General features: G+C 35.3%; 1 protein-coding gene across 5 annotated transcripts in view; it reads right to left on the bottom strand.

Moving 5' to 3' along the window:
• The window catches only part of ZSWIM6 (zinc finger SWIM-type containing 6), a 213,915-nt gene that overhangs the window by 16,815 nt on the left and 183,418 nt on the right, over nucleotides 1–13,682 (bottom strand). For 4 of the 5 annotated variants that reach the window (NM_020928.2, XM_047417453.1, XM_024446139.2 and 1 more), the window contains 3 exons: nucleotides 7,916–8,095; nucleotides 3,382–3,558; nucleotides 2,962–3,108 (listed from right to left, as the gene is read on the bottom strand). In NM_020928.2, coding sequence (NP_065979.1) covers nucleotides 2,962–3,108; nucleotides 3,382–3,558; nucleotides 7,916–8,095 — 504 coding nt within the window. Of the gene's footprint in view, nucleotides 1–2,961; nucleotides 3,109–3,381; nucleotides 3,559–4,210; nucleotides 4,343–7,915; nucleotides 8,096–13,682 lie in introns of those variants that run through there. The other variant, XM_047417454.1, reaches the window with a different exon arrangement.

Below are 13,682 nucleotides of genomic sequence, written 5' to 3'. Positions count from 1 at the left end.
CAGAATATAATGCTTTCAAGTTAAACCGCAGAATGCTGGGAAAAAAAGCTATGTTTAAGATATATTCCATTGTTGTAAATAATGCAGTATTTTACATCTAAGTGTTTACTAAAGTAATAAATAATAGTAGCTCCTTCTTTTCATTTTTTTGAGATGGAGTTTCACTCTTGTTGCCCGGCCTGGAGTGCAATGGTGCGATCTTGGCTCACTGCAACCTCCACCTCCCGGGTTCAAGCGATTCTCTTGCCTCAGCCCCAAGTAGCTGGGATTTACAGGCAAGTGCCATCACGCCCGGCCAATTTTAGTAGCTCCTTCTTAAAGGAAAACATAATAAAATTTACATACAATATAAAATATACAAGAAAAATATTGCCATGTAAATATCTGAAGAGCCATTCCATGAATCCAATGTTCCTTCACAAGTCTTCTGGTTTTAAGCAATCAACTATCAGTACATAAAAATGAAAGACAGGCCAGCGTGGTGGCTCACGCCTGTAATCTCAGCACTCTGGGATGCTGAAGCGGGTGGATCACCCGAGGTCAGGAGTTCGAGACCAGCCTGGCCAACATGGTGAAACCCCGTCTGTACTAAAAATACAAAAATTAGCTGGCCGTGGTGGTGGGTGCCTATAATCCCAGCTACTCGGGAGGTTGAGGCAGGAGAATCGCTTGAACCCAGGATGCAGAGGCTGCAGTAAGCCGAGATTGCGCCACTGCACTCCAGCCTGGGGGACAGGGCGAGACTCCATGTCAAAAAAAAAAAAAAGAGGAAAAACGGTTTGGCACAATGTATTGAAATTTAAGTCGAGTCCTAGATTCCTTGAAAAGGTCCTTATATTCAATTTCTGTTGCTGGCTTTCATAAACATAATTAGTAGGAAAAAAGAAACATGAGCACTACTCCTGGAAACAACCAAATAAATATGTTTGCATATATACATATACACACACATATATATATGTATATATATGTGTATGTATATATGGATGGGGCTAAAGGAAATGCTGTGCTTATATAAACAAATATATTGTCAAGTGATAGAAACTGAGGAAATATGAGAAATCAAAAATAAATCAAATAAATCTGTTTTTTTTCAGAATCAATAAGCTAACACATCATGCCAAATAATTTTGAAAATGTATAAGATATTCCATTTACTAATCTTGGCCCATAACAAGTAGCTGTTATGGTACTTTAGACTTGTAACAGCTATGGAAAAGCCTATTTTTAAAATACGGAAAAACAATTACCAAAAATAAAGTAGGGAAAGACATAGGTATAGACATGTAATCCTAGCAATACCTAAGAATGGTTGGAAATAAAAGTTTTCATAGCTTGCAAGATAAAAGAGAAATGGGTCTAAGAATGGTCTAGACCTAAAGGTTACAGAATTATCTCAAAGACAATCAAAGGAGTCTAAGTTAACATATTCTGTAACTTACCTAAATGTAAACATGTTTAGGAACATTAGTTAGTTAGGAAACTAACTAACATTTTTACACTTTCCTTTTTTATTACAACATTTTAAACAAATTTTAAAAGTCAACATTTATTCATAAAATGTATAATATGATTTTTTTTAAAAATCAGATGATCATCACGAACTGGCTCTCTTTTTGCACAGTATAACAAGTCCTGCACTCTTTGTTTGAATATTATCCTTTATACTATTCAGAAATAAATTCCTTTCACCATAGACTGTGTATGTGTTGAAGGAAGAAGGATTTCAGAAAAATTTTCCAAAGTACCTAGCAATGTATTTTGCACACACCAGTGATGATATGAAGAACATCATGAACTGGACAAAGTCACGACAATCGGGGCTCTCACATTCCAATCCCATCTGAGCTTCCCTCTTCCTTTGGTTCAACTGTAACTTTTGACTTTTTTTCACTGTTAAAAGTTACAATAGACACTTGCTCCAACCTCTAGCCTTTTAATAATTTTTAGTTATACTCTAGTATGTGTATAATCACCCAAGCATTAAAAACAAAAATATAACCAAAACCAAAACCAAAACAAAAACCCAGCAACTAAAACTATCCCTCTTAATGAAAAATAAAATCACAGAGTGAAAACGAACCTGCTAAAGAAACATAAAAATAAAATTTATACCTATAGAAGGAACAAGATGTACATGGATTAATCAGAAAAAGCATATACATTTCTTTATCTGATCAGGGTCTTGTGCATGTAATTCAACCCTTTGCAATTACTATTACTCAGTAATAGTTATTCAAAATTTAAAAGATTAATAAACTGAGATAAAGAGAAGTTAAATGTGTTCTTTCAGCTGACAGCTCATCAAATGTCATTTACAGAATTTGAAAAATCCAGTTCTATTCTGGTCACTTTAAGTAAATATAGTAACATGTCCTGATGTACAAATTATTACAGCTAAAAAGTTTTAGAATGCTTACACATTGTGCCAAGCTTTGCTTTAAGTGCTTTACAGAAATTAACTTGGTTTAATCTTCTCAACAACTCTAAGAGATAGGCCCTCTACTGAGCCTCATTGCACAGAAGAGAATTCAAAATCACAGAGACGTCAACTGATTGCCTAAGGCACCCATTTGGGACGTTAGGATTGCCGGGATTCAAGCATAGGCTGTGTCCTTATTGTTAGAATTAAAATGCACTTCCACAAAATAAGGCATTTAGCTAACATGCATTTTAAATAATTTAGACATACTAAATAGTCATTAAAACAATAAAGAAAATTATCCCCCTTAAAAAAGTAACTAACCTGAGAGATTAAAAAAAAAAATCTTTGCTTACAACATTCAACTAAGAAAAAGATGCCCCAAATTTCTCACAGATCAGCCATTATTTTAAATGAATGGCGAGTAAAGCCATCATCTATGGTTTTAGTTCTAAAAGCCATCTCTCCCAGAACACAAAACCTAGTAATGTCATCACTAAGAATCCCATTCCAATGGAAACAAACTCCTTCACATTCACCTTTTTTTTGGGTTCGGAACATTTCCAACTGTTTCTGCTGCTGTCGTCTTAATGTATTAACAATAGCTATTGCTAGTCTCAGTGCTTCTCTGGGGTACCCATGAGAACGTAATGCGTCCACTCTTGCACAGGCTGTAGGAACATGTTCTAAAACAGAAAGTCAAGGGGGTAAAGTTGCCACTGTCAGATATATCCATAAAAAAAGAATTTAATAGTAAGATGTTTCTCCCAAAATACTATTAAAAAGACACAAGAAACCATTCCTGAACTTGGATTTGAATGAAAATCTCAGCTCCTATTGCCAAGCATTCATCCATCTCCCATTGAATCCTTCAGTTCTCCACCTCCCATTCCAGTAATGCTATAGAAACTAAACAAAGAAGTAAGTCATGGAAATGTCTTTCCGGTTTGGTCACTTACCATGCCAGAGGGGCCACCCGCGGGAGTCGAAGAGGGAGTTTTCAGTGTCGTCATGGTAACAGTAGTTGGTGTATAGGTCACTGCTGATAATGTGCTGCAAGTGGCTATCCTGCCAGTGGAGATCGCATGCCTCGATGGCTCGGGTGAACACTGTCCGATGTGGCCTGTTCGATGAATCTGTTTTTTCCACAATTCAGAAAGCCGTGTCAGCTATTATTCACATGTGAATAAATCAGTCATACCATTCTGTGGCCAGATGTTCATGAACACACCCACACACATTGTCCTGCACCCCCTAAGCAGAAGGGTGAAGGGTGAATACTCTCACATCCTAAGTACTAAGAGGCAGGTCAGCCCAAGAGCCACCATTCACTCACTTGTTTATCAAACACAAACATTCTGCAGCCATTAAAGCTAAGGTTAAAGGCGTCCTGCAAAAAGAATTGTCAAGTCTAGTTTCCATGCCAAATACACTCAAAGGAGCCACTCAGCACAAAAGTCACAGGAAAACTCACTGCTCCCCACTTCTGAGGTGCTGTGGTGGGCTGCCCTTATGGGATCAACAGCTCTCACAAACACTATGCAAGAGATGCGACACCAGCCATGGAACCTTTCAGGATTATGCAGTCAGCCTTTAAAGATATGCATAAGGGTTGTGCTTTTGGTTGTATTTTTTAACTATATTGTGCGGTTTTGCACAATTAAAACTATTATGCTTCTTGGGATATAATGCTTAAATATCACTTTATATCCCAAAGGGCATAAATGCATATATTTAACATTTCACAAAGCCACACAACATAGCTACAAAACAAACCAGCGCACTTACCTTGCCCCTACAGGCTGCCTCCTGACTCCTGGGCAGGTTCCATGACTGGTGTGATGTCCCCAGCATAGTGTATGCCAGGGCATCACAAAAGAGCAGAGCCATACACTCCGAAGAGGGTTCAAGTTTCAGGACCTGACGGAGAAAAGAAATGTTTGGGGAATAAAGGATATTCTCACCTCAACTCCTGGGATTATTCAATTCCTAAGGATTATATGGTTCAAATTCTACCTGCACACCCACCCCTTGGGTTCCCACTCTAAACTTACCTTCAACTGTGGCACAAACTTTAGCAATCCTCAACTGGAAATCAGGTTAACAAACTATTTTTATTTATGTGTACTTAACCTAGTTCAAATATAACCTCTCATTGTTCTGAGACTTAATTAAATGAGAAGCAAAATCTAGAGCTTCCTTAATTGGTAAGATTTCATTTTCCTGTCACCGGACCTTTGGCTGAGCACAGACATAAGGGAAAACACAAAAATCAAAGGACAACTGAATTGAGAAGAAGAGACTGGAGAACTCATCTACGCCAACCCCTTTACTCTGCTGATGGAACTGAAAAGCAAGGGAAGTAAAGTGACTTGCCAAGGTCACACCATCAGGCAGTGACAGTGGAGATTAAAACACAGATATCCTTACTGAAAATTCAGCTACTTCAGCTGGTTTGGAAAGGCTTTTGACAAGTCTTTAACAAAGAGACATTACTTCAGTTTGGTCTCAGGTCAACTTAGCTATCTGTACCTGAATGGTAGACATATCAAAATGCATGTGTGATAGATCATTTGAGAGGCATAAATAATGATGATCTGTTATGGCTCCCACCCAGACTCCTCACTAGAGGTGGATGGATAGTGAAACTGCAAGGGAGAAGGCAAAGTCCTACATTTAAGGACGTTTTGAATCTATTGGGGCTTTTTGCTGAGCAGAATAAACATACCCATGCCCAGCAAGAAATTGGTTCCGTGACCTCTCACAGTCAATTGATCAAATGTTTCAAAGTCCAAGCCTCACATAAGTGTTTTTTAGCCTCATGTAAGTATCTTTTGTCATTTCATTTATTTTGTTAAGCTGAAATCATAGAAACAAAATTTAAAACTAAAACGAGACTTTAAAAGAGCAACTTAGTATTATGCATGTATTAAAAGAGTGAGTTAGAGGTCTGCCTATTGATTTGGCTCAAATAGCAAGCTGTTAACATGATTCCATTTTTATAAAACATTAATAGATACCTGAACCTTTCACATGTTTATATGTGACTATATAAGTGTAGAGAAATGTTGCGTACACACACTAGGCTTTTAACATGGTTAGCTCTAATAAAACCAATGACAACAAAAGAGGCTAAATACTCATGAAATGAAATTTAAATGACAAGTCCTGTAATAATATGGGAAACACATAAAATTAAGTATGTAGCTGGACATAGAAGATATACAATTAAAAATTTGGTTTGACTAGGTATCAAAATTAGTCAACTTTTTAAAATCTTGAATGTCAGTGGCTATTCAATTGTGCAGTAAGATTGAAAAAAGGGAAATAATTATCTTGAGCAATTTTTTTAAATGATAAATACACATATTTGTAAGAATTTTTCATAAAGTACACAAAATAGTAATACATGCTGATTAAGGAAAACTTGGGAAATTAAGTAAAAAGGAGATATTTTTGTTCTTCTACTAAAAAAATTATAAAATTGGCTATACTTTTGGTATATTAAAAAATTATTCTCTTTCAAAGGGTATAGATTGCAATGTTGTTATTCATTAATTCTAAAAAATTACCTCAGCAGAGGCAGAGCCTGGATAAGCCCTTCACATGCACTCTAATGTGTAAACACAAGAAATTCCGTCCATGGCCTATACTGTGTGCACACTCAGTCCAGCTGCAATGGCACAGCTGCTGGACTCTATTGGCCACCACAAGCTCTACCCTGGGGAGCCAGCTGAGCTTTACAGGGAAGGGCACTACAGGTATGAACACCAGACCTCCTCTGTAGGCATGTCTCTTCTGACAGCCCCTCAGAAGGATGGGGGTATTCTGCTAAAAGTAGGTACCCTGGTGCCTTTCGGTCCAACAGATATAAACACTGCCCTTAGAAACAAGGTCCCAAATTGTATCACCTAGGCCAAACCATAAGCGAAATGAACTCTTTAAGTCTGGAGGCTGGACCATTTCTTACCAGCTTTCTAAGGCCATGAAATATTCATGCTTAATCAAGGGTAACAGAATAAATGGAATGTAAAAAGTAAAATGTAAAATGTTTGAGTAGCAGTCCCCAAAAGCAGTGGGGAATGAAACATAGTATAAATAGAAGGGGATTAAGGATATTACCTATGTAGATGTAGGCATACCCTTTCCTAGCAACGGAAGAGAATAAATGTTGAACAATTAAACTTAAAAATTCTGAGCACCTGGAAAAAAACTGGGGGTATGTGGGATACATTTATTTTCTTCGAAGTTATTAAATACAATCATCATGGGCAATAAAGATATGACAGACTTCAAATATTGAATTCCCATGGCAAATATCTCTAGACAAGGCAGAGTCAGACAATTGTCTTTCTCAAGTCCTAAAACTTCTTTTTGATTGGAAAAGTCCCTATGGAGTAATACATATCATTTTCTTTCTTTGCAGAGACTAAAAACACTATACTAACATCACATTCAAACTCAGCACATTGTTCCAGTTATTTCTAGTAGTACAAATTCAGCATGTGGCTAGTACATAGAGAATGTAGTCTTGACTCTGAATCCTAATGTTATTTAATTCCCACCTTGCTTCTATCATGACTTTAAAATCTTTCAAATTTTCTCCCAAAAAATGCACTGAATCATGCAAAAATAGTGTCATGAATTAGTTAATAAAATTTCTATTGGCAAGAAATAATTACTTAAGAATTTCATTTTGAAAGGGAAGAGAACATTCTGCAGCAGGTAGAAGGGAAAATGGGGCCAAGGGAGGAAGTTTTTTAAAGATGGGAGAGACTTGGGTTGAATAGATAGGTACAATAGAGAGGGAGAAGCTAAAAAAAAACAAAAAACAAAAAAAAACAAACAAAAAAAACAGGACAGAAATGAGACAGAGGTTCTTTTGGAAATGTCTGGGAGCATTTCTTGGTTGTCCCAAAACTTGGAGGGCACTATTAGCCTACAGCAGGTGGGCTAGACAACCCCTCACAATAAAAAAATTTCCCAGTAAAATGTCAACAGCATTCTATGTCCTTCAGTCGAGTCATAAAATATTTCCTTACTACATTTTAAAACTAAGAATTAAGTGACTAAATTATGCAATAGATCAAACATGGATTGATCAAGAAAAATAAAAACATATAGCTCCTCAAGCCTCTTGACAGTTTGTTTTAAAAGTAATATATTAACCATCCTACTCCATGATCTTTTTAAATTAGAGAAGAATGTCCATAATAAATCATTAATAGGCCATTTTAACACATACTAGTATATAAAATAAGTATTATATCCATCCATATTCTGAGAATATAAAAAAGTATACAAATATCTCAGTTAAATTTAAAACATACACACAGACACACATACACTCACAGTCAACACATATTAAGTACTGGAGTTGTAAGTTCTTAAGTTGGTAAAATCATTTTCCCATATACATTGTAAGTTACTATTATAAGCACATATGCATAATTAAGTAGCTACAATTTAAGCAGAACATTATGGTAGACTCACCTTGGTTGGCATTTGCACCCTGAGGCAGAGCATTGGTTAAGTTGGGTAATTCACTGCCATGATTTCCATCTTCCCATGGACAGACATCAACACTATTCCATTTCTTCAGCTGTTTTAGCCAACTGGCCTTTTGCTCCAACTTGCAGTGGGGGTTTAAAACTATACACATCCACAGAGCACCTAATTTAAAGGAGGAAAGGAAAATAAATGTTCAAAAATTATAAAAACATCCAATTTTATCAAGTTAAATTGTTTAAATTTATTAAAATTTAAAAATGTAATTTATATATTTAAAATTTTAAATTTAAATTTTTTAAATTATCAAGTTAATTATAAATTTTAAACAATTTCAAAAGAGATCCAAGTCGGTCATTTTTATAACTTAATTCTCCTTAACATAAGCCACAAATCCCACAGAGAGTTTATTGAAAGGAGGACAATAGATCCAAAGTTTGAACCAAATATCCAAATACTCTTACATAATAAAATATACTTCATATTTCACAAATGCCAATAGTAATCAACTTCTTACTTGTATGACATTTTAGACAAAAATGCCAATAACATATACAATCCCAGTGTCCAATTTACAGACTCTATACATGGATACTGCAATATATCACTCCAAATGGTTCTGCACAAAAATTGAATTTACTTTCTAAAATTACTTTTTACAATAAAATCATTAAGGCATATAGTGGACACAAATAACTTCCTGTTCTCCTTATAATTTCAAACTTTATTATGTTTATTAATTAGTATGCATATTTATCCGTCAGTAAAATATGAATAGTTTGGGGCAAAAAAAAGCCAGTAAAATACGTCTTTCAAAAATAAAATCCATTTAAACATACTTCCCTAAATGATTTAATCAGGAACTGATTTTAAAAATATAGTTGAAATCACTAAATTTATATGTTCATGAGTAAAATTACTAAACCATAATCAAAATTTCCCTAGTTTTTCAAAGGAAAGGCAATCATACATTTAGAATAAAGGCATAATTCATAATTTGAATAATTAAGGTCTGATAAATTATTCCTTTCTACATTCTTCGAAGAAGTAGAAAATTCAAGCAAATATTTCACAAATTTTAAAAGTTCAAGTTTTACTTAAATTTCAAAGCAAGACAGCTACCAGTATTCCAAAGCTTTTCACAACACTACTTCTTTGAAAAGGTATGTGTGCATGTCTGTTTATGTTTTAATCATTTGTTAAATGCATAATAATGGTAGGAATGAAAACTGTTTATGTTTTATTTATCCAAAAGATAGGGCGTACATTCTTCCTCATTAAAAATAAACAAGCTTCTTCCATTAGGGCGGGGGTCCCCAACCCCCAGGCTGCAGACTGGTACCAGTCTGTGGTCTGTTAGGAACTGAGCCATGGCCTGTTAGGAACCTGGCCACACAGCAGGAGGTGAATGGCAGACGAACAAGTATTACCATCTAAGTTCTGCCTCCTGTCAGATCAGCGGTGGCATTAGATTCTCATAGGAACACAAATACTATTGTGAAATGCGCATGTGAGGGATCTAGGTTGCATGCTGCTTATGGGAATCTAACTAATGCCTGATAATCTGAAGTGATACAGTTTCATCCCGAAAGCATCCTCTCCCACCCCCCATCCGTGGAAAAACTGTCTTCCATGAAACCAGTCCCTGGTGCCAAAAAGGTTGGGGACTGCTATGTAAGAGTATCTATTATTTTAAATATCAAATAGCTTTTATCAACAGAAAACAAAAAGGGCCACAACCCATCTAAGCCACAGATATTTACAATCTGCATTTCTATATTTTAAAATGCCAATTAAAAACACAACATGGCTAGTGAAGATGGAGTAAGTCCACACCCGTCCCTCCCAATGATAACAACAAAAACTTTGGACAAAATACAAAAACTAATAACCTGAGGATTCTGAAAAGTAAGAGCAAGCAGATTGGAGAGAGAAAATAAAACCTGGAGAAGCAATCCTGATGGGGGTGACTTGCCATTATGTTTCCCCTTCTTTTTTTTCTCCTAGCATTGAAATAAAATTAGCCCCATCCAGGGAACTTTATAAACGACACATGCAGCAAAAACTTGAGAACGCTTATTGAGCTGGTGTAAGCACAGGGAAAAAGGACCCCCAAACCAGGAGGTGGAAACGGGGATCTCTGAATTCTGTGTACAAACTGGTAGAAGTCCTGGTCACACTTCATGTGCATGAGACAGATCCAAGGCAGCATAACCAAGGTTTTGAAAACTAACTGACATTGGAACTATCACCCAATGGAGGGGAAACAATTTATGGTCTGAATCTACCCTGGTTTGTTGCATGCTTTAAGAAATTTTTTAAAACAATCAATGAGAAAAACAAGCAATGGGGAAAGAGAAAAACAAGCAATGGGGAAAGGATTCCCTATTTAATAAATGGTGCTGGGAAAACTGGCTAGCCATATGTAGAAAGCTGAAACTGGATCCCTTCCTTACACCTTATACAAAAATCAATTCAAGATGGATTAAAGACTTAAACGTTAGACCTAAAACCATAAAAACCCTAGAAGAAAACCTAGGCATTACCATTCAGGACATAGGCATGGGCAAGGACTTCATGTCTAAAACACCAAAAGCAATGGCAAAAAAAGCCAAAATTGACAAATGGGATCTAATTAAACTAAAGAGCTTCTGCACAGCAAAAGAAACTATCATCAGAGTGAACAGGCAACCTACAAAATGGGAGAAAATTTTCGCAACCTACTCATCTGACAAAGGGCTAATATCCAGAATCTACAATGAACTCAAATAAATTTACAAGAAAAAACAAACAACCCCATCAAAAAGTGGGCAAAGGACATGAACAGACATTTCTCAAAAGAAGACATTTATGTAGCCAAAAAACACATGAAAAAATGCTCACCATCACTGGCCATCAGAGAAATGCAAATCAAAACCACAATGAGATACCATTTCACACCAGTTAGAATGGCAATCATTAAAAAGTCAGGAAACAACAGGTGCTGGAGAGGATGTGGAGAAATAGGAACACTTTTACACTGTTGGTGGGACTGTAAACTAGTTCAACCATTGTGGAAGTCAGTGTGGCGATTCCTCAGGGATCTAGAACTAGAAATACCATTTGACCCAGCCATCCCATTAGTGGGTATATACCCAAAGGACTATAAATCATGCTGCTATAAAGACACATGCACACGTATGTTTATTGCGGCATTATTCACAATAGCAAAGACTTGGAACCAACCCAAATGTCCAACAATCATACACTGGATTAAGAAAATGTGGCACATATACACCATGGAATACTATGCAGCCATAAAAAATGATGAGTTCATGTCCTTTGTAGGGACATGGATGAAACTGGAAATCATCATTCTCAGTAAACTATCACAAGAACAAAAAATCAAACACTGCATGTTCTCACTCATAGATGGCAATTGAACAATGAGAACACATGGACACAGGAAGGGGAACATCACACTCTGGGGACTGTTGTGGGGTGGGGGGAGGGATAGCATTTGGAGATATACCTAATGCTAGATGACGAGTTAGTGGGTGCAGCACACCAGCATGGCACATGTATACATATGTAACTAACCTGTACATTGTGCACATGTACCCTAAAACTTAAAAGTATAATAATAATAAATAAATAAATAAATAAATAATTAAATAATTAAAAAAAAATCTCCTGAGGATTTCAATTCTTTAAACAATCCCCAGGCTCTCATGATACAATATTCAAAATGTCCAGGACTCAAAATTATGTGACTTACAAAGAAACAGCAAAATGTGACCAATTCTCAAGGGGAAAAAACAGTCAACAGATACCAAGCAAGATGAACTAGATGTTAGAATTATCACTCAGAAGCTCTATACCAACTACTGTAATTATGCTCCATGAGATGAAAGTAAACACTATTGAAAGGAATAGAAAGGCAGTTTTCAGAAGTGAAATATAAACTATAAAAAAATGAACTAAACAGAAATTTTAGGGCCAATAAAACAATATCTGAAATTAAAAATTAACTGGATGGGATCAATAGCAGAACGGAGATGACAGAGGGAAAAGTCAGTGAATGTGAAGCTAGAAATGATCTCAACTGAAGAAAAGAGAGAAAAACAACTAGGCATAAATGAGCCGAGCCTTAAAAACAAGTAAGAAAATATCAAAAGGTTTAACATTTATGTCTTTCGATTCCCAAAAGATGAGGAGAAGAAAAAATTGGAAGAAATCATGAATGAAAACCTCCCAAATTTGGAGAAAGATATGAACTTACAGATCCAAGAAGCTTAGCCAACCTCAAATAAGATAAACTCAAAGAAAACCATTCCCAAACATATCATAAACTGCTGAAAAGCAAAGATGAAGAAAAAAAATCTTGAAAACAGAGAAAATCAAAATACCATACATAGAAGAATAGTGACTTGAATAATTAGAAATTTCTCATCAGGAAACAGAATACAATGGAACAATATCTTTAAAGCATTAAAAGAAACTGAAATGTCAATGAGAATTCTATATCCAGCAAAAATATCATTCAGGAGTGATGATGAAATATAACCATACCCAGATCAGGGAAAATTTACAGTATTCGTTGCCAAGACATCTGTTCTAAAAGAAATGTTGAAGGAAATTCTTTATGCCGAGGAGAAATAGTATCAGAAGGAAACTTGGAAGTTCAGGAATAAAGGAAGAACAATAGAAATGATAAAATATCTCAGTAAATAGATTATTTTTGACTTTTAAGTTCTTTAAAAGTATGATGGTTAAAAGCAAGAATTTAAGCACCATTTTGTGGAGTTTTAAATGCACATAGAGGTACTGCACATGACAACTATAACATAAAAAAGGGAGAGTAAAGGAAAAATATATATAAAAACTGTATCTATAAACTATATATATATATAAGATATATATATATTTGCCATGTTAAATGGCATGTAGAGCCTAACAACCACAAAACTATATATATATATATAGTTTTTATATATATATATATGTATATTTTTGTTATACTCTACATGCCATTTAACATGGCAAAATATTAACTTCAAGTAGACTGTGAAAGCTTAGGTCTGTTTACTACAATGCTGATACCACCAAAAATATTCTAGGAGATACAAACACAAAGGATAATAGAAATTAAATTATAATAAAACATTTTAAAATAAATAATCCAAAAGAAAGAAAGAGAGAGGGAAGAGATGAATGGAAACAGAGGGGATAAACAAAAAACAAATGATTAAATGGTAGACCTAAATTCAACAACCACATCAATAATTATATAAAATATAAATGGTCTAAACATATAAATTAAAAGAAATGGTCAAATCAGGCTAAAAAACAAGACCCAAATCTTTCTTATACTGTGTATAAGAAATCCACTGTAAATATAATGACATAGATTAAATGGAAAAGGAAGAAAAAAGATATACCATGAAAAAACACTATAAAATAAAGCTGGTATGACTATATCAGTATCAGATAAAGCCAACTTTAGAACAAGGAATACTATACCAGGTATAAAGAGGGGCATTACATAAAGATAAAACGGACAGTTTTCCAAAAAGACATAATCCCAGATGACTCGGCTGCACCTCACAATAAGACTTCAAAATACAGGAAGCAAAACTGACAGAGCTTAAAGGAGAAACAGACAAATCCACAATTATATTTGGAGACTTCAACATTCTTCTTTCAGTAACTAACAGAACAAGTAGCCAGAAAATTATCAAATACCTGAATACTGCTATGGTCTGAATGTGTC

Source organism: Homo sapiens, chromosome 5 (assembly GCF_000001405.40).
Source record: "Homo sapiens chromosome 5, GRCh38.p14 Primary Assembly".
In the NCBI taxonomy this organism is placed as follows: domain Eukaryota; kingdom Metazoa; phylum Chordata; class Mammalia; order Primates; family Hominidae; genus Homo; species Homo sapiens.
The sequence above is the reverse complement of the archived record's forward strand: the minus strand, read 5'-3'. Positions and strand labels throughout refer to the sequence as shown.